Source organism: Homo sapiens, chromosome 2 (assembly GCF_000001405.40).
Source record: "Homo sapiens chromosome 2, GRCh38.p14 Primary Assembly".
NCBI classification, from domain to species: Eukaryota; Metazoa; Chordata; class Mammalia; order Primates; family Hominidae; genus Homo; species Homo sapiens.
The window spans coordinates 215,292,020-215,316,327 of NC_000002.12; the positions used below are offsets into that span (position 1 = coordinate 215,292,020).

General features: G+C 43.1%; 1 protein-coding gene, 1 long non-coding RNA gene and 1 other non-coding gene across 9 annotated transcripts in view, besides 4 other annotated features; 2 read left to right on the forward strand and 1 right to left on the reverse strand.

The window, feature by feature from the left end:
• Positions 1,867 to 2,161: a silencer, noted in NCBI's record as "tiled region #4788; K562 Repressive DNase matched - State 6:EnhF". NCBI's record gives its function as "represses a minimal TATA promoter and a strong SV40 promoter by Sharpr-MPRA in K562 cells {active_cell/tissue: K562}" and the evidence as "EXISTENCE:reporter gene assay evidence [ECO:0000049][PMID:27701403]".
• On the forward strand, positions 10,747 to 10,845 carry LOC124906184 (small nucleolar RNA U13). Its single transcript, XR_007088768.1, has one exon. It is a non-coding gene; the product is annotated as a small nucleolar RNA U13 (small nucleolar RNA).
• A 794-nt stretch (positions 10,846 to 11,639) lies between these two features.
• LOC124907975 (uncharacterized) lies at positions 11,640 to 19,953 on the reverse strand. The gene is made up of 2 exons (XR_007088075.1): positions 18,660 to 19,953; positions 11,640 to 12,520 (listed from the first exon to the last, which is right to left on the reverse strand). It is a non-coding gene; the product is annotated as an uncharacterized LOC124907975 (long non-coding RNA).
• Positions 19,744 to 20,394: an enhancer, noted in NCBI's record as "H3K27ac hESC enhancer chr2:216176486-216177136 (GRCh37/hg19 assembly coordinates)". NCBI's record gives its function as "activates a minimal SCP1, AML or CMV promoter by ChIP-STARR-seq in naive H9 embryonic stem cells {active_cell/tissue: H9 hESC(naive)}" and the evidence as "EXISTENCE:reporter gene assay evidence [ECO:0000049][PMID:30033119]".
• Positions 19,925 to 20,004: a silencer, noted in NCBI's record as "silent region_12297". NCBI's record gives its function as "represses an Ori minimal core promoter by ATAC-STARR-seq in GM12878 lymphoblastoid cells {active_cell/tissue: GM12878}" and the evidence as "EXISTENCE:reporter gene assay evidence [ECO:0000049][PMID:35858748]".
• Positions 20,015 to 20,384: a silencer, noted in NCBI's record as "silent region_12298". NCBI's record gives its function as "represses an Ori minimal core promoter by ATAC-STARR-seq in GM12878 lymphoblastoid cells {active_cell/tissue: GM12878}" and the evidence as "EXISTENCE:reporter gene assay evidence [ECO:0000049][PMID:35858748]".
• Positions 20,040 to 24,308, forward strand: part of ATIC (5-aminoimidazole-4-carboxamide ribonucleotide formyltransferase/IMP cyclohydrolase) — a 56,534-nt gene continuing 52,265 nt past the window's right edge. For 6 of the 7 annotated variants that reach the window (XR_007075419.1, XR_007075418.1, XM_047444489.1 and 3 more), the window contains exons 1-2: positions 20,040 to 20,142; positions 20,479 to 20,605. Coding sequence is in view for 4 of the 7 variants with exons in the window: in XM_047444489.1 (XP_047300445.1) it covers positions 20,124 to 20,142; positions 20,479 to 20,605 (146 nt within the window). In the remaining 3 variants the exon portion in view is untranslated. Of the gene's footprint in view, positions 20,143 to 20,277; positions 20,372 to 20,478; positions 20,606 to 24,308 lie in introns of those variants that run through there. The other variant, XM_047444491.1, reaches the window with a different exon arrangement.

Below are 24,308 nucleotides of genomic sequence, written 5' to 3' on the forward strand. Positions count from 1 at the left end.
AAAGAAAATGCAGGAGAATGTAAAGCGGTTTTGCAAATACTTTAATAACTAACTCTCTTCTTCAAGTCTTTCTTTAAATATCATCTTAATGAGGTCACCCTGATAACCAGATTTTTTTTTTTTTTTTTTTTTAGATGGAATCTTGCTCTTTCACCCAGGCTGGAGTGCAGTGGCGCGATCTCGGCTCACTGCACCCTCTGCCTCCTGGGTTCAGGCCATTCTCTTGCCTCAGCCTCCCGAGTAGCTGGGACTACAGGCGCCCGCCTTTAGTCCTGATTAGACATGGAGTACGACAGAAAGATGTTTAGGGTGACTTCAAGGTATTTCACAGAAGCAGTGGTTGAATATAGGTCTCATCAACTAGATGTAATGGCTGTGGGAGGCATTCTTGAGGGAATAGAACTAAGTGTTGGGAATCAACACATTTCTTCCAAATTCCCCCAACACACACACACACACACACACACACCACACACACACACACACACACACATCCCACATCACCTCTGTCAAGGAGTGAAGCTGCAAAGGTAAGGATTAAATTCTAAACCCCAATATTTAACCATCCTTTGAACTTAGGCTGCTTGGCAATAGCATTTCTCCACTTTTTTTTATGTGCTTGTTTCCCTAGACTGATAACATTGAGGACCTACAGCAGTCATAGATATTTCGAGCTAAATGACCCTTTATAAATCATTCTAGCATGGTACTTACCACACAAAATTGAATTTCCACATCCAATCAAAGATGCCATTGATTGTAATATGCACCATTATTTTTTGCATTGCTAAGAAAGAAAAAGCAGCCATTTGAAATATGATTGATATTTTCTTATTTATCTATGACTTACTTGGACATAGATTTTTAAAAATTCATATACTCATGCATATGTAAAAAGGAAAATATAAGCAAAGTATTTCTAAAATGTTTTCCTTTATTAGGTTATTAATTACATTTTATTCAATGTTATAAAGGCCTCACTTACACAACTAGAGTTAGAACATTATGCCCCTAATTAGTATTAGTTCATCAATTTCATCAATAAATTATAGGAAACATGGATTAGACAAACTAGTTCAACCATTGTGGAAGTCAGTGTGGCAATTCCTCAGGGATCTAGAACTAGAAATACCACTTGACCCAGCCATCCCATTACTGGGTATATACCCAAAGGATTATAAATCATGCTGCTATAAAGACACATGCACATGTATGTTTATTGCGGCACTATTCACAATAGCAAAGACTTGGAACCAACCCAAATGTCCAACAATAGACTGGATTAAGAAAATGTGGCACATATACACCACGGTATACTATGCAGCCATAAAAAATGATGAGTTCATGTCCTTTGTAGGGACATGGATGAAACTGGAAACCATCATTCTCAGCAAACTATTGCAAGGACAAAAAACCAAACACCGCATGTTCTCACTCATAGGTGGGAATTGAACAATGAGAACACTTGGACACAGGAAGGGGAACATCACACACTGGGGCCTGTTGTGGGGTGGGGGGAGGGGGGAGGGATAGCATTAGGAGATATACCTAATGTAAATGACGAGTTAACGGGTGCAGCACACCAACGTGGCACATGTATACATATGTAACCAACCTGCACGTTGTGCACATGTACCCTAAAACTTAAAGTATAATAAAAAAAAGAAAAGAGAAAGTAGAAAATAGGCAAGAAATTGAGAGAAAATAGAAAACAGGTTTTGCCTGTCCTGCTACCAAATTATGTTTAAGTCTAAAACCTATTTTAGATCCACCATTAAAACTAGATAGACTAGCTTTAGTCAGTTTGGGTTGTAAATAAAGCATGCATAATTGTATGAAAGCCTTTGGGCCCTGCAACTTCCTTGTATTCAGAGTCCGACTCCTCTGAAACACATTTTGTTTCAAACCTATATTAGCTGTATAACAAAGTACTCTCAAGTTCAGAAGCTTAAAACCACAAACGTTGATTATCTATTTCTGTGGGTTCCAAGTCCAGGAGTGGTTTACCTGGCTGGTTCTGGCTGGGGGCCTCTCATGAGGCTGTGTCTCACTGTTAGCTGAGGGTGCAGTCTTCTGCAGGATTGACCAGGGTTGGGGAATCACCTTCCCAACTCACCCACATAGCTGTTGGCCGGCCTCAGGTCCTTGCTGGCTATTGGCTGGAAACCAGTTCCTGGCTACTCGGGCTTCTTCAGAGGGCTGTTCACAGAATGACAGCTGGCTTCTCCTGAGCCAGTGATCCAAGAGAGAGGGAAAGGAAGTGAGAGCCTGAGATGGAAGCTGCCCCATCATTTTCACAGTAAGTTACAGGGCCCACCAACCAACCCTGCTACAACATGAGATAGAACCACCCAAAGGTGAGAAGATGGAAGATGAGCATTATTGGGGACTATTTTGGAGGCTGGCTCCCACAAATTTAGATTTTTCAATTTCCATGTTTCTCTGCACAATAACTCCCAGTGTACCATCAAGAGAATTGACAATATGTGGGGCACGGTGGCTCGCACCTGTAATCCCAGCACCTTGGGAGGCCGAGGCAGGCGGTTCATGAGGTCAGGAGCTCAAGACCAGCCTGGCCAACATGGTGAAACCCCATCTCTACTGAAAAAAAAAAAAAAAAATTAGCGGGGCATGGTGGCATGCATCTCTAATCCCAGCTACTCAGGAGGCTGAGACAGGAGAATTGCTTGAACCTGGGAGACAGAGGTTGCAGTGAGTGGAGATCACGCCACTGCACTTTAGCCTGGGCGACAGAGCAAGTCTCCACGTTGGAGAAAAAAGAAAGAGAGAGAGAGAATTGACAGTGCAATATTTGCTAAAAGGGTGTTTCACTAATACTTCCTTCTGTAACGAAGCTGGGAGAAAGGATTTCTGCTAAGCTACTGACAGCCATTTTGCATTTAATGTTGGCACTGTCTTGATCTTGGCAGATATCATTGGAAAGTTTTTTTTTTTTGTCTGAAAACTATTTATTTACCTTAATGTTCCCAGAGCCAATCTATGTGCAAGACACGGTAGGTATTGTATAAATATTTGTCGAATGAATGAACTTTTCAGATGATCTAATCTAATTTCTTCATTTCAATATTAGCCCATGGTTTCTCAATCCTTCAAAAACCCTAGCTATCAAAGCAATCACAATTCCTACTTACTAGAATTGCCTGGTCATCATCAGCCGGGGGAAAAATATGTAAGGCAAGAAAGAGGTAGGCGTAAGGATGCAACATAATAAGGGTGGAGAACATATCCACCCCCATAGCATTATTGAAAGGTGTTGCAAAGTCCACCTCCACCTTAATATCTTCTCTTTTGATACCAACTACCACTACGACCTGATCTAAAAATGGACATTGCCTTTTTAAAAGGAATAAGGGAGAAGGGAAGGAAATGAAAGGATTCTACCCTAGCTTTGCTAATGAATCAGGAGTGATCTGACAAGCATCACTTTGAAATTTCGAATGAGTATTGGCCCTAGGGCAATGAGATTAAAATGAACACATTTCAATAAGAACCAAAAAGAGGGAGCATTAGGAAGACACGAGGCCAAGGATGACAGGAGCATAGACTCACGGTCCCACTGTGCTGCTTTCTCTAAAAGATTGTCAACACACGCTAAAAAAGGATATTTGAATGGTTTATAGATACTATATTCTGAAGTTTATAGCGTGTTTTTTATTTTTTATATTTCAATTTTCTAAAATTAGAATGCACCTTAATGTGGAATGTAATACTTCTCAAAAATAAGGACGGAATACCTATCCTCAGCAACAACAAAGATAGAAAAGCAATGGCACACATTAGAATTCCAAAATTCAGTGGTTTCTCCTTTCCGGGCTGAAATTTATGCTCCAGGAGGGTGTCTTTTATTTATTTATTTATTTAGTGACACAGTGTTGATCTGTTGCCCAGGCTGGAGTGCAGTGGTGCGATCTGGGCTCACTGCAACCTCCATCCTGTGGGTTCAAGTGATTCTCATGCCTCAGCCTCCCAAATAGCTGAGATTACAGGCACGCGCCACCACGTCCAGCTAATTTTTGTATTTTTAGTAGAGGTGGGGTTTTGCCACATTGGCCAGGCTGGTCTTGATCTCCTGAACTGAAGTGATCCTCCTGCCTTGGTCTCCCAAAGTGCTGAGATTATAGGCATGAGCCACTGCGCCCAGCCCAGGAGGGTGTCTTTTAATCATTAGTTCTCTATACCTAATTAGCCCAAGCATCAGACTTCAGAGTAAGAAAAAGCAGTTTCAACTCTACCATTTCCTGGCCCTGTGACCTTAGAGCTTCTTCAGGTCTTCATTTTCTGCATCTCAAAAATAGGAGTAGGAATAGAATGTCCGTCTTTGGGTTATAATGAAAATGATTGATAAGAGCACTTCATTAACTGGAAGTCATTGTGCAAATGTAGTTGGTTGTCCTTGTCTTTGAAATTCTGAGTTGCTACTGATGCCCCAGGGAACAACCTTTACCGCTCCCTAGTGGTGGTGTGTTCTCCTGGGAGCACAGCTCCTAGAAATAAATCAACCTCCTTCATTACCCATGAGGAGATGCTTCTCTGTGGATTCGCTTAATATTTCTTGTGGAACAACTGCATGAACGCATTGCATAAAGAATACGTGGAGGCCGGGCGCGGTGGCTCACGCCTGTAATCCCAGCACTTTGGGAGGCCGAGGCGGGCGGATCACGAGGTCAGGAGATCGAGACCATCCTGGCTAACACGGTGAAACCCCGTCTCTACTAAAAATACAAAATATTAGCTGGGCGAGGTGGCGGGCGCCTGTAGTCCCAGCTACGCGTGAGGCTGAGGCAGGAGAATGGCGTGAACCCCGGGGGGCAGAGCCTGCAGTGAGCTGAGATCGCGCCACTGCACTCCAGCCTGGGCGACAGAGCAAGACTCCGTCTCAAAAAAAAAAAAAAAAAAAAAAAAAAAAAAAAAAAAAATTAGCCGGGCGTGGTGGCAGGCGCCTGTAGTCCCAGCTACTCGGGAGGCTGAGGCAGGAGGATGGCGTGAACGTGGGAGGCGGAGCTTGCAGTGAATGGAGATCGCGCCATGTACTCCAGCCTGGGCGACAAGAGTGAAATTCCGTCCCAAAAAAAAAAAAGAAAGAATATATGGAGAATAATCTAAGCAAGGAAAGGTTGGAGTGTTCTTCCGTGCTTGCACCTCCTTAACCTTCTCCGTTTCTCCACCCTTGTTAAGCCTGAATGTCCTCAATGCCCTCCTTGCCTCCATTTCCATTACCTTGTCTTTAACATCTTTGCAAACATAAAGTTTTGGTGAGAAGGAGCAAGCCTATAAATGAATTTGTGCTATGGACACTTGAATAACTCACATTTATGTTCTGTTAACTGTAGATCCTCTCTCCTTTCTAGCTTGCACCACCCTTAAAAATGAAAGTATTTTTTAAACACAAAACGTTTATTTAAATGTAGCTCTTTCTAGATTCCTTTCCCTTTAGTCAACACAAAAGTTTTTCCTGAGGGCAAGAATCATGTTTATTCTCTCTCTTTTTTTTTTTTTTTTTTTTAGATAGGGTCTTGCTCTGTAGTCCAGGCTGAAGGATAGGGTCTTGCTCTGTAGTCCAGGCTGAAGTGCAGTGGCTTACTGCAGCCTCAACCTGGGCGCAAGCAATGCCCCCACCTCCGCCACCTGAGTAACTGGGATTACAGGTGTGCACCCACCAAGCCCAGCTAATTTTTTTTTTCCTTAGGGACAGGGTCTCACTGTGTTGCCCAGGCTGGTCTTGAACTCTTGGGCTCAAGGGATCCTCCCACCTCAGCCTCTCAAAGTACTAGGATTATAGGCCTGAGCCATGGCACCCTGCCTGTTTATTCTTTATTATGCTGATTTAAGAACCCAGTCCTTGCCCCCGTACTCCTGCTATTCATATCCATCTGCTATTCATATCCATGCTGAGTCAACTCCAAAAGCAAACAAAAGAAACACATTCTTAAACGCTGATTGAAAACCTAGCATTGGCCCGGCGCAGCGGCTCACGCCTGTAATCCCAGCACTTTGGGAGGCTGAGGCCGGCGGATCAACTGAGGTTGGGAGTTCGCGACCAGCCTGACCAACATGGAGAAACTACATCTCTACTAAAAATAGCCGGGTGTGGTGGTGCATGCCTGTAATCCCAGCTACTCAGGAGGCTGAGGCAGGGGAATCGCTTGAGCCCAGGAGGCGGAGGTTGTGGTGAGCCAAGATTGTGCCATTGCACTTCAGCCTGGGCAAGAAGAGCGAAACTCCATCTCAAAAAAAAAAAAAAAAGAAAAAAAAGAAAAGAAAACCTAGCATTAAAGAACTGAAGTAAATTATGTTTTATTCCTTCAGAGTAGATATGGGGAAATAAAAGAAAAAATATATATTTTTTAAAAGTATAAAATTATGTTAGGGGTTTCACAATACTTGAACTTAAAATTTGTATTTATTTATGGTTGACATCCTTTAACATTTATTGATAAAAAAGTGATAATAAATTATACTGATGCTATTCCCAAGTTTTGCTTCTGCTTGAAAGGTCTTCTGACATCCAGGTTTGATAACAAATAGATGCAATGTGTGGTCTCTTGGGTCTGATATTTAATCTTAATCCTAAACTAGATTGTTGAAAGTAAAGAAGATATATGACAGATGACAATTGTGTTTCGTCTTATAATTGAGCATATAGAGTCTTTCTTCTTACTCCTGAAGGGTGACACATTTTCTGCCCCAAGAAAAACATCCAAGTATTTTATCATGCTCTTATTGTTCCAAGTGATCCAAAATATTTTTCTTTTGCTATTGATTTTTATATGGAGCTTTTCCAGATATTAGATGGAGGATTTTAGTTTAACCTTTGTAGACTGAACTTTTCTTTTGAAATGCGTAGGATAGTGGTTCCAAGTTCTGAAAATATGATGTATTATTAAAGGTTTCATTTTTTATAAATAAATTCTAAGAAAGTACATCTGATTAAATGAATTCATCTATGTAAAGTGTAGAGAACAGTGTGTGGCATGTGGTAGTGATATATAACTGTTAGCTATGTATTTATAATGAACATTGTCATAGCCATACATTTGTAATGGGCATATATACATTGCTAGACATCAGTATATTTTATTCAATAAAGTTGTATAAATAAATCCATACAAATTATTTTCCTTAAAACTTAATGCAAATGAGGTTTTTTGAAAATCCTTAAAATGTGGAAATTTACTTTCCCAGGTATTCAGCCATGATATATACTTTTAAATCCATGTATATATTCAATTATTTTACTTTGAAAATTACAACATCGACATATTGGCAAGCAACCCTAAGATAAAACAACACTTTCACGTGGTGATCACTTTTCAGCCCTCAAGCATGTGGGAAAGGACACAGTTTGCCCACCTCCTCAGAGTCCTTTATGGAAATACAAGGATAGTCTGTATCAGGCTGGAGGTTACTAAGGCTTTACTGCGGCCGCCATAGTTTACTAGGGCTGCCATAACGTAATACTATATACTGACTGGCTTAAACCAGAGGAATAATTTTCTCACAGTTCTGGAGGCTAGAATTTCAAAATGAAGGTAATGGAAGGTTTGGTTTCTTCTGGCTTCTCTCTCCTTGGCTGGCAGATGGCTGCCTTCCTGCTGTGTCCTCACATAACCTTTCCTCCGTGGGGGCGCATTCCCAGTGGCTCTCCCATTTCTCATAAGGACACCAGTCATTTTGAATTAGGACCCACCCCCATGACCTCATTTAAACTTAAGTGTCTCTTTAAAGTCCCCATCTCTAAATATAGTCACATTATCTCTCCACATAGTACTGCGGGCTAGTATTCAACATGTGAATTTGGAGGGACACAATTTAGCCCATAACACAGGCCCTGTTATACTTTTTTCTAATGTTATTTACACTTTTATTCTTTTGGGTCTTTTTTAATTACACTTTTTTTTTTTTTTTTTTTTTTTTTTTGAGACGGAGTCTCCCTCTGTTGCCCAGGCTGGAGTGCAGTGGCACAATCTCGGCTCACTGCAACCTCCACCTCCCAGGTTTAAGCGATTCTCCTGCCTCAGCCTCCCAAGTAGCTGGGATTACAGGCACCTGCCACCATGCCCAGGTAATTTTTATTTTTAGTAGGGATGGGGTTTCACCATGTTGGACAGGCTGGTCTCGAACTCCTGACCTTAGGTGATCCGCCCACCTCAGTCTCCCAAAGTGCTGGCATTACAGGCCTGAGCTACTGTGCCCGGCCAAATTACACTTTTAAAATAAAGTTTTAATTTGGCTTTTCTTGTTATTAGAAACATAGCCAATCATAGAACTCAAAATCTAGGATTTTTAGAATCAAAGGAACTTACATTTCTGATCTAAAGATCCCTGATTATTATTTAGTAACTTTTTCCCTGTATATTACTTGGTAACTTAGACACAGGAGTAAGATATGAGGAGTATATCTATAAGGGTCTGGTACCAAAATCCTGAATTTATGCAAACTAGATTCTATACAATCAGTTCTAAGTCTCTGGATTTTTTTATGAATTCTGGCAAAACCAAGTATATATTGGTTACCACTTTTTAAATTTCAGATAATTACCAAAATTTGTAACTTACAGTTGAATCATGCTATATAAATAATATTTAAAAAGTGTTAATGTAAACCTTTTCAAGAAATTCTATGTCTTATCTCAGCTAGCAACTGACAGACAATTCTTAGATTCCATCTAGATCAGTGGTGTCCACTAGAAATATAATGGGGATGACATATGTAATTTCATTTTATTATTTATTTATTTGAGACAGAGTCTACTCTGTCACCCAGGCTGGAGTGCAGTGGCACCATCTCGGCTCACTGCAACCTCCACCTCCTGGGTTCAAGTGCTTCTCCTGTCTCAGCCTCCCGAGTATCTGGGATTTCAGGCATGTGCCACCATGCCGGGCTAATTTTTGTATTTTTAGTAGAGATGGGGTTTTACCACATTGGCCAGGCTGGTCTTGAACTCCTGACCTCAGGTGATCTGCCCGCCTCAGCTTCCCAAAGTGCTGGGATTACAGGCATGAGCCACCGCGCCTGGCCGACATATGTAATTTTAAATGTTCTAGTGGCCACATTTAAAAACTAAGGAGAAAAAAATAAATTAATTTTATTAATATATTGCATTTAACCCAATATATCTTAAATATTGTCATTTTAACATGTAATCAATTAAAATTATTAGAAATATTTTATATTATTACTGTTCTTGTCTAAGTCTTCAGAATGTGGTGTTTGTTTTATACTTACAGAACTTCTCAATTCAGGTTAGCCACGTTTCAAAGTGCTCAATAATCACATGTGGCTCATGGCTACTATAATACAGTGCAGGTCTAGATAGTTAGTTCAATGGTCAGCAACACATTACATTAGGTGCAGGTCCATGCTATCCTTTGCTAGTGTGTTTCTGAAACAAGTATATTCATTTGTTTTTAAAAATCTTTTAGGGTGTTTTAAGTTACTTCTGTAGATTTCAAATCAACTGCCTTCCATAAAAATGACATTGCTTACTCAAATAATAATGTTTGAAAGTAGGACGGCCCAAGATTTGGTTAATTCAAAGCCTTCATAATGGCATAAAAAACTCCAGGCTCCTCTCATCTTTCTTAAACCTCAAGATTCTCTCTCTTGAGGTCTCTACTAAAAATGCAAAAATAGTCAAAGGATGGCTGCGACTATTACTATAACCATTTCCATAGAGGAAAAGGCATTGCATTTTCCTTAAGCTTCTTTCTAAGAGATAGGAAAAATTTTCCCACAATATCCACCTAATACAAAAAAAGACGTTAAAGAAGAAACAGAGGAACAAAAAAAGTTAGACATATAGAAAACAAATAGCAAAATGGCATAATCAAATATATCAATAATAACATTAAATGTGGGCCAGGTACAGTGGCTCATGTCTGTAATTCCAGCCCTTTGGAAGGCTGAGGTGGGAAGACTGCTTGAGCCCAGGAGTTTGAGAATTAGCCTGGTCAACATACCAAGACCTTGTCTCTACAAAGAATAAAAAATTTAAAAATTAGCTAGGTTGAGGTGGGAGGATTGCTTAAGCCTAGGAATTCGAGTGTGCAGTAAGTTATGATTGTGCCACTGCACTCTAGCCTGAGTGACAGAGCGAGATCCTGTCTCAAAACACCACCACCACCAACAAAAACCATTAAATGTAAATGGACTAAACAATCAAACTAAGAGGCAGAGATTGTAAAATTTGTTCTGGTTTGGACAATAAATTATGGTTCACCTAAAAATAATATATTTTTATTTGGTTTTAATGTCATTAATAGGTAAAAACTCATATTGAAATTCTAATTATAATAACATAATTATAGGACTTTCTCAAGGATAGTTCTAAGGCATTAACACCCACACATTGGTATTGATGTAAAGTATTTAGGGTATCTTCCTCATTCTTGGAATCAGAGAATCGAAATGCAAGGATATTCAATGAGCCATTGATGGGGATATTGACCTTACCAAAATAATGTAGGAGTTGAAGTAGAACACAAACACTGTGAACCAGGTCCCCAAATCTCTGTGAATGAATGTCTGTGTCCATGAATTGGAGGTGATGGGTACTAAGAGTAGAGAGTAGTAGAGATAGATCTTTTAAGTGTTTATAGTTGGTGTGTTATCTACTAGTTATTTTATTAGGCACTCAGATAAGCACAGAGAAAAAAAATGTAGTCCCTGCCCATAAAGAGGGGTTCAGCGTGAAGGGGCAGACAGCTTAAAAAGAAATGAGTGTGATCCTTTTGCAGTTCATAAGCATGAAGTTTGGGTTTTCACATGCATCTGTGAGAAATACCTTCCTCAAACCCTGTTACAATGGTGGCTCACATCTGTAATCCCAGCACTTTGGGAGGCCAAGATGGGTGGATTTCTTGAGGCCAGCAGTTCGAGACCAGCCTGGCCAACATAGCGAAACCCATCTCTACTAAAAATACAAAAATCAGCCAGCCATGGTGGCCTGCACCCACAATCCCAGCTACTTGGGAGGCTGAGGCACAAGAATCACTTGAACCCAGGAGACTGAGGTTGCAGTGAGCAGAGATTGTGTCACTGCACTCCAGTCTGGGCAACAGAGCAAGTCTCTGTCTCAAAAACAACAACAAACAAACAAAAAACAACCTTGTTACAACATCAGGACATTGGCACATTATCTGTTTAACATTAAAAAAAGAAAAAAAGGGGCCGGGTGCAGTGGCTCACACCTGTAATCCCAGCACTTTGGGAGGCCGAGTTGGGTGGATCACGAGGTCAGGAGATCGAGACCATCCTGGCTAACATGGTGAAACCCTGTCTCTACTGAAAATACAAAAAATTAGCCTGGCGTGGTGGTGGGTGCCTGTAGTCCCAGCTACTCGGGAGGCTGAGGCAGGAGAATGGCATGAACCCAGGAGGCAGAGCTTGCAGTGAGCCGAGATCATGCTATTGCACTCCAGCCTGGGTGACAGAGCGAGACTCCGTCTCAAAAAAAAAAAGGAAGAAAGGAAACAGACAAATGAGTGAAATTCAATGCTACAGGTGTTACAATTAAATAAGCTCCTGCATCAAAAAAGGGGAAACAATCAATCCACCACATGGAGGATACAGCAATCAAGAAAGCCTTTAGAGACAGAGGTAACATAAGATCTATTTGTTCTTGGATTCATTCTGACATTTTATTCGTAGAAACATTGGTAGTAGGAGTCCAGGTGCTGAGAAAGCTGTAACAACTATTAATGCTGATGGTGGCTATTCAGCCAAGTGTGAGATATGATAGAGACTGGAGTTAAGTGGTTGACATAAGTAATCTAAAATAAGAGGCAGAGGCCAGGTGCTGTGGCTCACACCTATAATCCCAGCACTTTGGGAGGCTGAGGTGGCTGGATCACTTGAGTCCAGGAGTTCGAGACCAGCCTGGCCAACATGGATAAACTCTGTCTCTATTAAAAATACAAAAATTAGCTGGGTGTGATGGTACACGTCTGTACTCCCCGCTTTTTGGGAGGCTGAGGTGGGAGAATCGCTTGAACCCAGTAGGTGAAGGTTGCAGTGAGCTGAGGTCGCACCACTGCATCCAGCCTGGGCAAAAGAGTGAAACTTTGTCTAAAAAAAGAAAAAATTATTTCCTTGAAGAAGCTTTTCCCTCCCCACCCACAGTCCCTAAGTAGATCCCTCTATAATAAGACTTGCTTCTGTCTTGCATTATCAGATTTCCCTCTTCACTACTGAATCGATCAGTGTTATGGACAAACAAATGTGATTATTCTTTCAGATTAAGAAAAAACAAGGCTGAGTGTGGTGGCTCACACCTGTTATCCAAACATTTTGGGAGGCTGAAAGCAGGAGGCTCACTTAAGCCCAGAGTAACATAGTGACACCTAGTCTTTACAAAAAATTAGCCAGATGTGATGGCGTGCATCTGTAGTTCCAACTACTTGCTAGGCTGAGGAAGGAGGATCTTGAGTCCAGGAGGTCGAGGCTGCAGTGAACTGTGATGGTACCACTGCACTCCAGCCTGGGCAACAGAGTGAGACCCTATATCAAAAAAAACAAAAACAAAATGTCAATAAGCTCCCTGGACCCACTTGTACCACCAGCTACCACCCTATTCCTCTACTCTCCTTTTAGAGTAGTGGTTCTCATCTGGGGGCAATTTTTCCCACAGGAGACATTTGGCAATGTCTGGAGACACTTCTGGTTGTCACAACTGGAGTAGGGGTGCTACTGGTATCTAGTGGTAGAAGGCTTGGATACTACTAAACATCCTGAAATGCTCACGACACACCCCCCATTCCCCCCGCCACACACACACAATAAAGCATTATCCGCTCCAAAATGTCTATAGTTTTGAGGTTGACAAACCCTGTTTAAGAGCAAAACTCCTTAAAAGTGTCATCTTTATTCCACATCTCCAATTCCTTCCCTCTTTGTGTCTCATTTTTTTTTTTTTGAGATAGAGTCTTGCTTTGTTGCCCAGGCTGGAGTGCAATGGATCACTGCAACCTCAGTCTTCCAGATGCAAGTGATTCTCGTGCCTCAGTCTCCCAAGTAACTGGGATTACAGGTGCGCCCCACCACACCCAGGTAATTTTTGTATTTTTAGTAGGGACGGGTTTCACCATGTTGGCTAGGCTGGTCTCAAGCTCCTGACATCAATGATCCGCCCACCTCAGCCTCTCAAAGTGCTGGGATTACAGGTGTGAGCCACCATGCCCAGCCCCCTCATTCTCTCTTGAACCTACTCCAGCCAGACCCTCATCTCTACCACTTCCCCAAATGTGTCCTTGTCAGGATAATCCAACATCTAATGGTTACTCTCAGTCCTCATCAGACTTAACCTGCTGGCAGTATTTGACACACAGTATCATAGGTATCCAGTGTCCTACACTTAACCCTGTTCTTCCCCCCAGGGCTACTACATTTGTATCCTTCCCAATTTCAGCTGATGTCAACTTTATTCTTCCAGCTGTACAAGCGATCATCAATGCTCCTTCTCTTCCTCTCAAACTTGGCATCCAATTTGTCAACAAATCTTATTGGCTCTTCCTTCAAAATATATCTGGGATTTAATTACCTCCTCCAATGTCCACTGCTGCCACTCTGGGCCGTGCCACCCTCATCTTTCACCTAGTGTCAAGGTCCTGGATCATTGTGAGAGCTTTCGTAGGGATTCCCCTGTTCCACCTTTGCTCTCATACAACCAGAGTGAGTGTGTGAAAGAGGTAAATTAGATGTCACTCCTTCCCAAAACTCTCCAAGGGCTTCCTTTCTCATTCAGAATAAAAGCCGAAGTCTTTACGATGTGCCCACACGGCCTTATCCAACCCGATTGCTGACATTGTGTCTTCCTTCTCCTAGTGAAGTTCCCTCTGTTGCTACCATACCACCCTTCCTGACATTCCTTAGACACTACAGCCACACTCCCTATGCACGGCCTTTGCACTTGTTCCCACTGCCTGGAACTTTCTCCTTCAAATACCCTGTGGCTTGTTATCCCCCACCCAGCCCTCCAGTCCTCACTCAAATGTACCTTGTCAGTAAGAAATTCTCTGCCAGGCCTTCCTAAAGGTGCAGCTACCTCTGCCCTGTCCCTCTTCTCTGCTTTATTTTATCCAAAAGGATAAAGTGTCTCTTCACCTGTGGTCCACAGTGGCTCATGCCTGTAATACCAGTACTTTTGGAGGCCGAGATGGGTAGATCGCTTGAGGTCAGGAATTCAAGACCAGCCTGGCCAACATGGTGAAACCCTGTCTCTACTAAAAATACAAAAATTAGCCGGGCGTGGTGGCATGCACCTGTAATCCCAGCTACTCGGCAGGAGAATTGCTTGAACCCAGGAGGCAGAGGTTGCAGTGAGCCCAGATCGCGTCACTGCACTCCAGCCTAGGTGACAGAGCAAGACTCAGTCTCAAAAAACCAAAAAACATTAAATGCCTTCCTGAATGAATTTTCTTTCTTTAGCTTTTTTTGTCGCTCGGGTTATCTACTAGACCTAATTAAGCAAGCTTATCTTCTTCCAGGCTTCAACTACTACTTGAATTTCATTAATTTTCCACGTTTATTTATCTTTAACCTCACTTTTATTCCTGAATTTCATTTGTATTTCCAACAATTTGCTGTATGATTTTAACTGTGTGCACCAATTACCTAGACTTTAAAATCAATATTTAGAAACTCAAACTTATTTACCCAACCACTCACACTGACCTTAAATTAAAATAAACACATGCCACAACTGTTCTTTCTCTTACATATATTTTTATATTTTGGGTGTTGCCTCACCAGCTACTCATATGACGAAGCTAGAAATGATGGAATCATCCCTAGTTTTTTGTGTCTAATATTTCCTATATGTCACTGATCCCTGCATGCTGCTAATTTTACCTATTTTGAATCGTCTCACATAGATAACCTCTTTTCCACCTTCTTATGTGTGAGTGGATGCAAAACCTTCCTAACCAGTTTCTCTACTTCCTACTATTCCAATTCATTCTTTGTATTATTGTCAGCTTTATATCTCCAAACATCTCCAGGACTTTCAAGAAAAATGTTTGAATTTCATACTAGGTCATAAATTAGCTTAATGTTCTGAACTACAGTAGAGAGGAATTTTATACCAAGCTCCTGGGAATCCCTTTATATGATAAACTACATCCACTTGAGTGGACAAACCCTTGGAGCAAGTCAGCCCAAGATGATGCAGCTTTATTAATCGTTAGAGTCCAATAGGAGATCCAAGACTTGGAAGGGAGATGGAGGTTTTTCAAAGAAAGTGATGAGCTTGGCCAGGCGCGGTGACTCACACCTGTAATCCCAGCACTTTGGGAGGCCGAAATGTGCGAATCACAAGGTCAGGAGATCAAGACCATCCTGGCTAACATGGTGAAACCCTGTCTCTACTAAAAATACAAAAAAAATTAGCCGGATGTGGTGGCGGGTGCCTGTAGTCCCAGCTACTTGGGAGGCTGAGGCAGGAGAATGGCGTGAACCCAGGAGGCGGAGCTTGCAGTGAGCCAAGATTGCTTCACTGCACTCCAGCCTGGGTGACAGAGTGAGAGCGAGACTCCGTCTCAAAAAAAAAAAAAAAAAAAGTGATGAATTTACACAAGAAACAAACAACATAGGGGCAAAATCAGATTATAACACCTTCAAAGAACTGAAACAATTCATGTACATTAAATATTTTAAGGTATATTACTATGATTTTAGGGTCTTCAAGCTTCTCTTTGGAGGTATGTGAAGTAAGAAGAAATGAAAATGTAATCATTATAGTGTATACACGCCCTTTCTGTCTTTCTGAAACAATAATCCTGCGATAAACCATTGGTAAAAGATGCATTCTCATCTTTATGAGAACATCTCCCTTTTCTAAGACACTAGCTTGCTGGTGACTAGATCTTTGAAGACATACCTTGGTGCCCAGAAAGATACCTGATTAGCCAGACCAAGGGAACCAAGAAGATTACACCTCTATTTTACTCTTCTTAGTCTCTTTGCAGTTTGTACTTTCAGTAGACTACCTGTACTTAATTCGCTTCTTAAAATATGATGAGGACTGCAGAAAAAATATTATGTCCATATTACAGGTAAAGCAACAAAGGTCCCCAAAAGATGGAGTGACTTGGCCAGGATCACAAAGCTAGTAAAAAATTCATTTACTCTTTTTGTCATTAACATATTAAGTCCTATCAAGTCGGGATGCTAAAACTATGGGAGAATTAATCAGAGTAAATATCTTTATTTTTATTTTTTGAGACAGAGTCTCGCTCTATAGTGCAGGCTTGAGTGCAGTGGCACTATCTTGGCTCACTGCAACCTCTACCTCCTGGTTCAAGCGATTCTCCCACCTCAGCCTTTCGAGTAGCTGGGATTACAGGCACCGCCACCATGCCTGGCTAATTTTTTGTATTTTTTTAGTAGAGACGGTGTTTCACTATGTTGTCTAGGCTGGTCTTGAACTCCTGAGCTCAGGCAATCCACCCGCCTTGACCTCCCAAAGTGTTAGGATTACAGACGTGAGCCACTGTACCCAACTTACTTTTTGTATTTTTAGTAGAGACGGGGTTTCACCTGTTGGCCAGGCTGGTCTCAAACTCCTAACCTCAAGTGATCCACCTGCTTCAGCTTGCCCAAGTGCTGGGATTACAGACGTGAGCCACCACTCCTAGCCTGTTATTTTTTTATTTTATTTTATTTAAGAGACAGGGTCTTGCTCTGTAGCCCAGGCCGAAATGCAGCCGTGCAACCTTAGCTCACTGTAACCTCGAACTCCCACCTCAGCCTCTCAAGTAGTTAGGACTGCAGGCATGCACTATGTTGCCCAGGTGGGTCTCAAACTCCTGGCCTCAAGTGATTCTCCTACCTCTGCCTCCCAAAGCACTGGGATTACAGGCATGAGACACTACACCAGGCCCCAGAGTAAACATCTGTAAATGGAAGAGTCTGTAATGAAAGAGGCTCTACAAAATCAGTTTAATGCCGTGTTTTCTCTATTATTATTATTTATTTATTTAATTTTTTCTTCTTTTTTTTTTTTTTTTGAGATGGAGTCTCGCTGTCGCCCAGACTGGAGTGCAGTGGCCCGATCTCGGCTTACTGCAGGCTCCGCCCCCCGGGGTTCATGCCATTCTCCTGCCTCAGCCTCCCAAATAGCTGGGACTACAGGCGCCCGCCACCTCACCTGGCTAATTTTTTGTATTTTTAGTAGAGATGGGGTTTCATTGTGTTAACCAGGATGGTCTCGATCTCTTGACCTCGTGATCTGCCCGCCTTGGCCTCCCAAAGTGCTGGGATTACAGGCGTGAGCCACCGCGCCCAGCCTATTTATTTAATTTTTTGAGACACAGAGTCTCGCTCTGTCGCCCAGGTTGGAGTGCAGTGGCGCAATCTCGGTCACCGCAAGCTCCGCCTCCCGGGTTCACACCATTCTCCTGCCTCAGCCTCCCGAGTAGCTGGGACCACAGGCGCCCACCACCACGCCCGGCTAATTTTTTGTATTTTTAGTACAGACAGGGTTTCACTGTGTTAGCCAGGATGGTCATGATCTCCTGACCTCGTGATCCGCCCGCCTCCACCTCCCAAAGTGCTGGGATTACAAGTGTGAGCCACCGCACCCGGCCTCTATTAATATTTTTTAGTTATACTTCATGTGTCTACATTTTCATTCCATCATGAGCTCCTTGAGGACAGTGCTTAGGTGATATTTATCTGTCTTCTGACACTGAGTTTCTGCCATCCAAGCAGAAAAGGCTCAATAAAAATGTATTGAATCGAATAAATATTTGTAATTCACATGACAGACAAATGCATAATGCCGAAGCAACTGTTTATTTCCCCTTATCAATAAATGTCAGCATTGTTTTCTCCTTTCCTTGCTTTCGATTTCCTGTAAAAACCTGATGGTGACTGGCCAAGGAAATATCCTTTTTAAATTCAAATTTGGCAAACACACTGAAGACATGCGATAATCTTAATATATTCCTCGTAGGAATGTGAGAAGTGTTCAGAGCAAAGGGCTAACATATTTAGAGGTCAAAAAATTGATTCCAGGCTGGACGCGGTGGCTCACGCCTGCAATCCCAGCCCTTTGGGAGGCCAAGGCAGGTGGATCACCTGAGGTCAGGAGTTCGAGACCAGCGTGGCCAACATGGCGAAACCCCATCTCTACTAAAAATACAAAAATTAGCCAGGCATGGTGGCACGCGCCTGTAGTGCCAGATACTCGGGAGGCTGAGGCAGGAGAATCGCTTGAACCTGGGAGGCAGAGGTTGCAGTGAGCCGAGATCGCGCTACTGCACTCCAGTGTGGGTGACAGAGCGAGAGTGTGGGTGACAGAGCGAGACTCTGTCTCAAAAAAAAAAAAAAAAATTGATTCTAGTCAATAGGTATTTATTTTGGGGAGTAAAGAGATGGGAAGAATTAGAGAAAGGAAGAGGAAAAACAAAAATAAATAGCATGCAGATAATGAGAAAATAGACTCATTTTTACAGCTGTGAGCTCAGACTAAAAGATAAACAATGCTATTACTTTGGAATATAATTCTAATAACACAAAAAAGACTCATAGACCACAATATGTATTTATTTTGTGGCAAAGGTGTCATTTTTAGAAAGAAACAAATGTGTTCAATTTTGCTTTCCCTGTTTTTAATGAATTAAGAAAGGTCTTCTCTTACCTTCTTTTGACTGTCATCATTCCTCTCATCCAGGAATATTTACAGGTTTGCAAGAAGACACCATCTTTAAGTAGTTTTTAGGCACTTTTACAATACTGACTAAATTGTATAAAATAGTATTATAAATTAATATTTAAATTATAATTTTATGACGTGAAAATCAACAACGAATGTCAATTTCACTTCGTTTTGACTGTCATCTGTGGCCTCTGGAGTCCCTCACTTAAATCATTGGTCCTTGGTTTTATTTTTTAAGCCTATTAAAAAGGAGGATGGGGCCGGGCACGGTGGCTCACACCTGTAATCCCAGCACTTTGGGAGGCTGAGGTGGACAGATCATTTGAGGTCAGGAGTTGAAGACCGGCCTGGCCAACACCGTGAAACCCCATCTCTACTAAATATACAAAAAAAAAAAAAAAAAAGTACAACAACAACAAAAAATTAGACGGGTGTGGAGGCAGAGGCAGGAGAATTTCTTGAACCTGGGAGGCAGAGGTTGCAGTGAGCTGAGATGGTGCCACTGCTCTCCAGTCTGGGAGACAGAGCGAGACCCTGTCTCAAAACAAACAAGCAAACAAGCAAGCAAGCAAACAAACAAAAAACAAGTTGGGCATGGTGGCTCACCCCTGTAATCCCAGCACTTTGGGAAGCCGAGGCAGGCGGATCACCTGAGGTCAGGAGTTTGAGACCAGCTTGGCCAACATGGCGAAACCCCATGTCTACTAAAAATACAAAAATTAGCCGGGCATCGTGGCGCCTGCCTATAATTCCAGCTACTCGGGAGGCTGAGGCAGGATAAACTCTTGAACCCGGGATGTGGAGGTTGCAGGTTGCACGTGACATAGCCGAGATCGCGCCATTGCACTCCAGCCTGGGCAACAAAAGCGAAACTCCATCTCAAAAAAAAAAAAAAAAAACAAAAAAAACAAAAAAACCCAGAAAAACAAAAAAACAACAAACAAAAAGGGAGGATGGTAGATAACTGTCCAGATACTTTCCAGCTTTGCCGCTATATGAACTATTCCTTTTGTTTAGTTTTCAGCATGGGAGCTTCTGGCACTTTTACGTACTTTCCAGCTTCTGGGGACCGGCTGCCTAGAATAACAGGCATTTGCCCCAGAGGCCGTGGAGTGGCCTCACTTTGGGGTCGTGGGCAGATCGCTGGCTCCCACGCCTGGACTTCGGGATCGCAGGCAGGATCCCTTCCAGCCCAAGCACTCCGCCCAGGCGCGCCAGGCAGAGCCCCACCCCATCCCGCCGTTCCCTTCAGCCCCGGGGCGCGGATCTTGCATCTGAAACTGAGCAGAGCAGGGCGCCGGGCAGGGCCGGCGGGCCACGTGATAAGCCCGGAAACAGCTCCGCCCCCTCGCTTCCTGAGCCGCCACATCCCGGCAGCCCTCCTACCTGCGCACGTGGTGCCGCCGCTGCTGCCTCCCGCTCGCCCTGAACCCAGTGCCTGCAGCCATGGCTCCCGGCCAGCTCGGTGAGGCCCTAGCGGAGCGGCGCGGTCTGCGTCCTCGCCTGCGGCCCCCCACGCTCCCGCCTTGGCGGCGGCCGGCGGGACCCGGCACTGCAGGGGCGGCGCTGCGGGATTGAAAGCCAGCGTCCCCGCTCCCCGGCCGGGCCGCAGCCTGCGTGGGGCCCGCCTTAGAGCAGCTCGCGGGTGTAAGACCTGGGGAGGCCCGGACCAGGCCTGCGAACGCAGGGTCCAGGTGCTGGCCTTGCGATTCGAGAATCTCCTCCCCCAGACCCTCCCAAGGCCTTGCAGAACACAGTGCAATGTGCTGCGAATCATGAGAAAAAATGTCTTCTCTTTCAGCCTTATTTAGTGTCTCTGACAAAACCGGCCTTGTGGAATTTGCAAGAAACCTGACCGCTCTTGGTTTGAATCTGGTCGCTTCCGGAGGGACTGCAAAAGCTCTCAGGGATGCTGGTCTGGCAGTCAGGTAAGGCATAGCTAGTTCCATCAGAAAGGAGTGTGATCACATTAACCAGGAAGTATTGTATTCCAGGCACCAGCAGCAAAACGCCTTATTTACTCCTCCCAGTAGCGCTGTGAGGTTGGTGTAATACTTCCCCACTTTATGGGGAAAAAAAGTGAGGCTCAGAGAGATTTAGCAACTTTTAAGACCCTGGACGGCTGGGCTAGGTGGCTCACGCATGTAATCCCAGCACTTTGGGAGGCCGAGGTGGGCTGATCACTTACGGTCAAGAGTTCGAGACCAGCCTGGCCAACATGGTGAAACCCGTCTCTACTAAAAATACAAAAATTAGCCGGTATGGTGGCACACGCCTGTAATCCCAGCTACTGGGAAGGCTGAGGCAGGAGAATCGCTTGAACCTAGGAGGCGGAGGTTGTGGTGAGCCGAGATGGCACTACTGCACTCCATCCTGGGTGACAGAGAAAGACCCTGGACAACACACTGGACAGATTTAGCATCTTCTGCACAAGTTTAAACAGTTGAGTAAGGGAAAAGTAGGATTGGAACCCGTGCTGTTCCTGATTTTAGGACACTAGTCTTAGCCCCTTCCTTAAACAGATTAACTTAGGTGGGCCACTTGTTATGCAAGGAAAACTTCAGTTACTTTGACTGGTGATTTAATAAAACTCGACATCATGAAGATTCCAATTTACCTGCCTTCCCTTAGAATCTCTGGTAACCATATGAAGGTGCAAATCATTCATTCCCACGTTCACAAGCCCTTCATTAGCTGACTAGGCCATGGAAAGAAGGGACTTAGAAATGATTAACCAGGATGCCATTGCTGATGTCAAGGAGTGGCATTCTGGGAGGAGAGGGAGGAAGTCTACTGAAAGGTAGAAAAATGAAAAAAACTATAGGATAGCTATTTAATAAACGGCAGTGAGAGTTGGGAGGAACGAGATGACCACCCCTGAAACATATTTTAGAATGAAAGAGATGAAGGATATCTGTCTGCTTTTTGTTGCCATGTGGAAAATTTGCTTCTTGGTTTCTAGATCCATGTAGAGGTAGGTTATTACCTTTTCTTTGTGCAGTTCCCAGCTATGTGAGCAGTACACAGCTTCCCTAAGTTTAACAAGTTCAGATGGTAAGAATGCCTTACTTTATTAACAAATACATAACTGTATATTTTCGGATGTCTTTTTGCGTCTTGTCTCTGTGGTTTTCATGGGAAACCTGTGAGAATCGTGGCAGGCAAGTTGGCTCTTTGCTCATCAGCAACCGAATGAGAATTCAAAGTCCAGACCTGCGTGCTTTCCATTGGGCCAAGTTGGGTCCTCCTATGGTAATGGAACCTTCGTAAAGCAAAATCCTCATCTGTAGTCTCTTTTTTTTCCCCACCAAACTTTGTATTATGGAAACATTTCAGACACAATCAAAAGTAGAAAAGTATAATGATCCCTTGGGTCCTATATCTGTCACCCACTTTAGGTACTTATCAACTGATTAGTCTTGTTTCTGTACCTATACCCACTCCTCACTTATCTTCATTATGGTCATATCTTCTTTAAAAACTGGAAATGTAAATGTGTTTCTCTTCTATGAAAGGATAAGAAGTTCACCATGAGTGATTTATTTAGACCCCAGCACAGTAAAGTTCACTGAATGAAATGTAAACAACTTGGAGCAATTGTTTTTTCTTCAACAAAGGCCACATTCAGTTGCAGTGGTATTTTATTCAGTTGCAGTGGTATTTTACATATATAAACTCTTATAGTCCTTATAACAACTTTTTAGTTTAGGTAGTGTTATCCTCATTTTATAGGTGAGGAAATTAAGCACAACGTAGTTAAGTAACTCGCTCGAGATTACACAGCTAGTTAAGAGGCCAAGATTTTTTTTTTTTTTCTCTGAGATAGAGTTTCACTCTTGTTGCTCAGGCTGGAGTGCAATGGCACTGTCTCAGCTCACTGCAACCTCTGCCTCCCAGGTTCAAACGATTCTCCTGCCTCAGCCTCCCAAGTAGCTAGGATTACAGGCGCCCGCCACCACGCCTGGCTAATTTTTTTGTATTTTTGGTAGAGACAGAGTTTCACCATGTTGGCCAGGCTGATCTCGAACTCCTGACCTCAAGTGATCGCCCGCCTTGGCCTGCTGGGATTACAGGTGTGAGCCACCGCACCCGAGGCCAAGATTTTGTAGGGGTGGAAAGGTGTGATCCTTTGCTCTCCATCGTAAACGTCACGGCCAATATTTTTATAAGAGAAGACAGGTTATAATAAGAGAAAAGCATAACAAATTTATTTAACAAAGTTTTACATGACATGAGAGCCTTCAGAATGAAGACCCAAAGACAGAGGAAAAACCATCCATTTTTATGTTTAGGTTCAACAAAGAATGGACAGAAAGGTGGAAGTATGATTGGACAGCAAGGATATGGTGTATGCTAGTAGACTGAGGTGGAGAAAGCCAGGAAAGCCTGTCTGTCCAGATTCTTCTTGGCTTCTCTAAAATTCTTTCTCCACCCCCTAAGGATCTCCTGACCTACTAATGGGCAAGGAGATGAGAGGATTTCTTTACGTCCAGCTCCTAGACAGAAAGCCAGTGGAAAGTTAGAATCATAAGTTTAAATCTTATGACTGGCTTTGGGGAAAAAGAGTTTTAGTTTCTGTAAACTGCCCTGGGGAAGAGAAATTCTCATTTCTGTGACTTCAGGGAAGAATGAAGGGTGAGAGGCAAGAGGGCAGGAGAAAGCTATATATATATATTTTTTTAGAGGGTTTTACTCTGTCACCCAGGCTGGAGTGCAGTGGCACAATCATGGCTAATTGCAGCCTCGATCTCCCAGGCTGAGGCAATCCTTCCACCTCAGCCTCCTGAGTATCTGGGACTACAGCTGCACACCAGCATGCCCAACTAATTTTTGTATTTTTCATAGAGATGGTTTCACCATGTTGTCTGTCTGGTCTTGAACTCTAGGGCTTAAGCAATTTTGCCTGCCTTGGCCTCCCAAAGTGCTGGGATTACAAGTGTGATCCACCATGCCTGGACAAGGTCTTGGTTCTGGCTGGGCGCAGTGGCTCACCCCTGTAATCCCAGCACTTTGGGAGGCTGAGGCTGCTGGATCATCTGAGGTCAGGAGTTTGAGCCCAGCCTGGCCAACATGGTGCAACTCCATCTCTGCTAAAAATACAAAAAAGAATCAGCCGGGTGTGGTGGCGTGCACCTGTAATCCCAGCTACTCAGGAGGCTGAGGCAGGAGAATTGCTTGAACCCAGGAGGTGGAGGTTGCAGTGAGCCGAGATTCCACCACTACACTCCAGCCTGGATGACAGAGAGAAACACTGTCTCAAAAAAAAAAAAAAAGATCTTGGTTCTGAGGCTGCTTCTGAGCATATTTTTGGGTGTTGTTATCTGCAATAATTTTATCCCAGGAAGTTAACCATTACCTTGTCATGAGGTAAACTGATGGATTTTAATTAGTGAGTATACAGCAGTGAGCATACATAGAATTATTTCCCGAGACTACAGCCATTATGTATAAATTCTTCAGTTCAAAGGAGTAGCAAGCTTTTTAATTACCCCAAATGTTTAATTCTAGAAATAAATCCGCCTTCTCTAAGTTTTAAGTGACTGTCTTCATTTGGAGGAAATGGATTTTATTTCCTGAACCCCAGGAAAAGAAATTTTGAATTTGAAAACACTTATGTCACCAGTTTGTGGA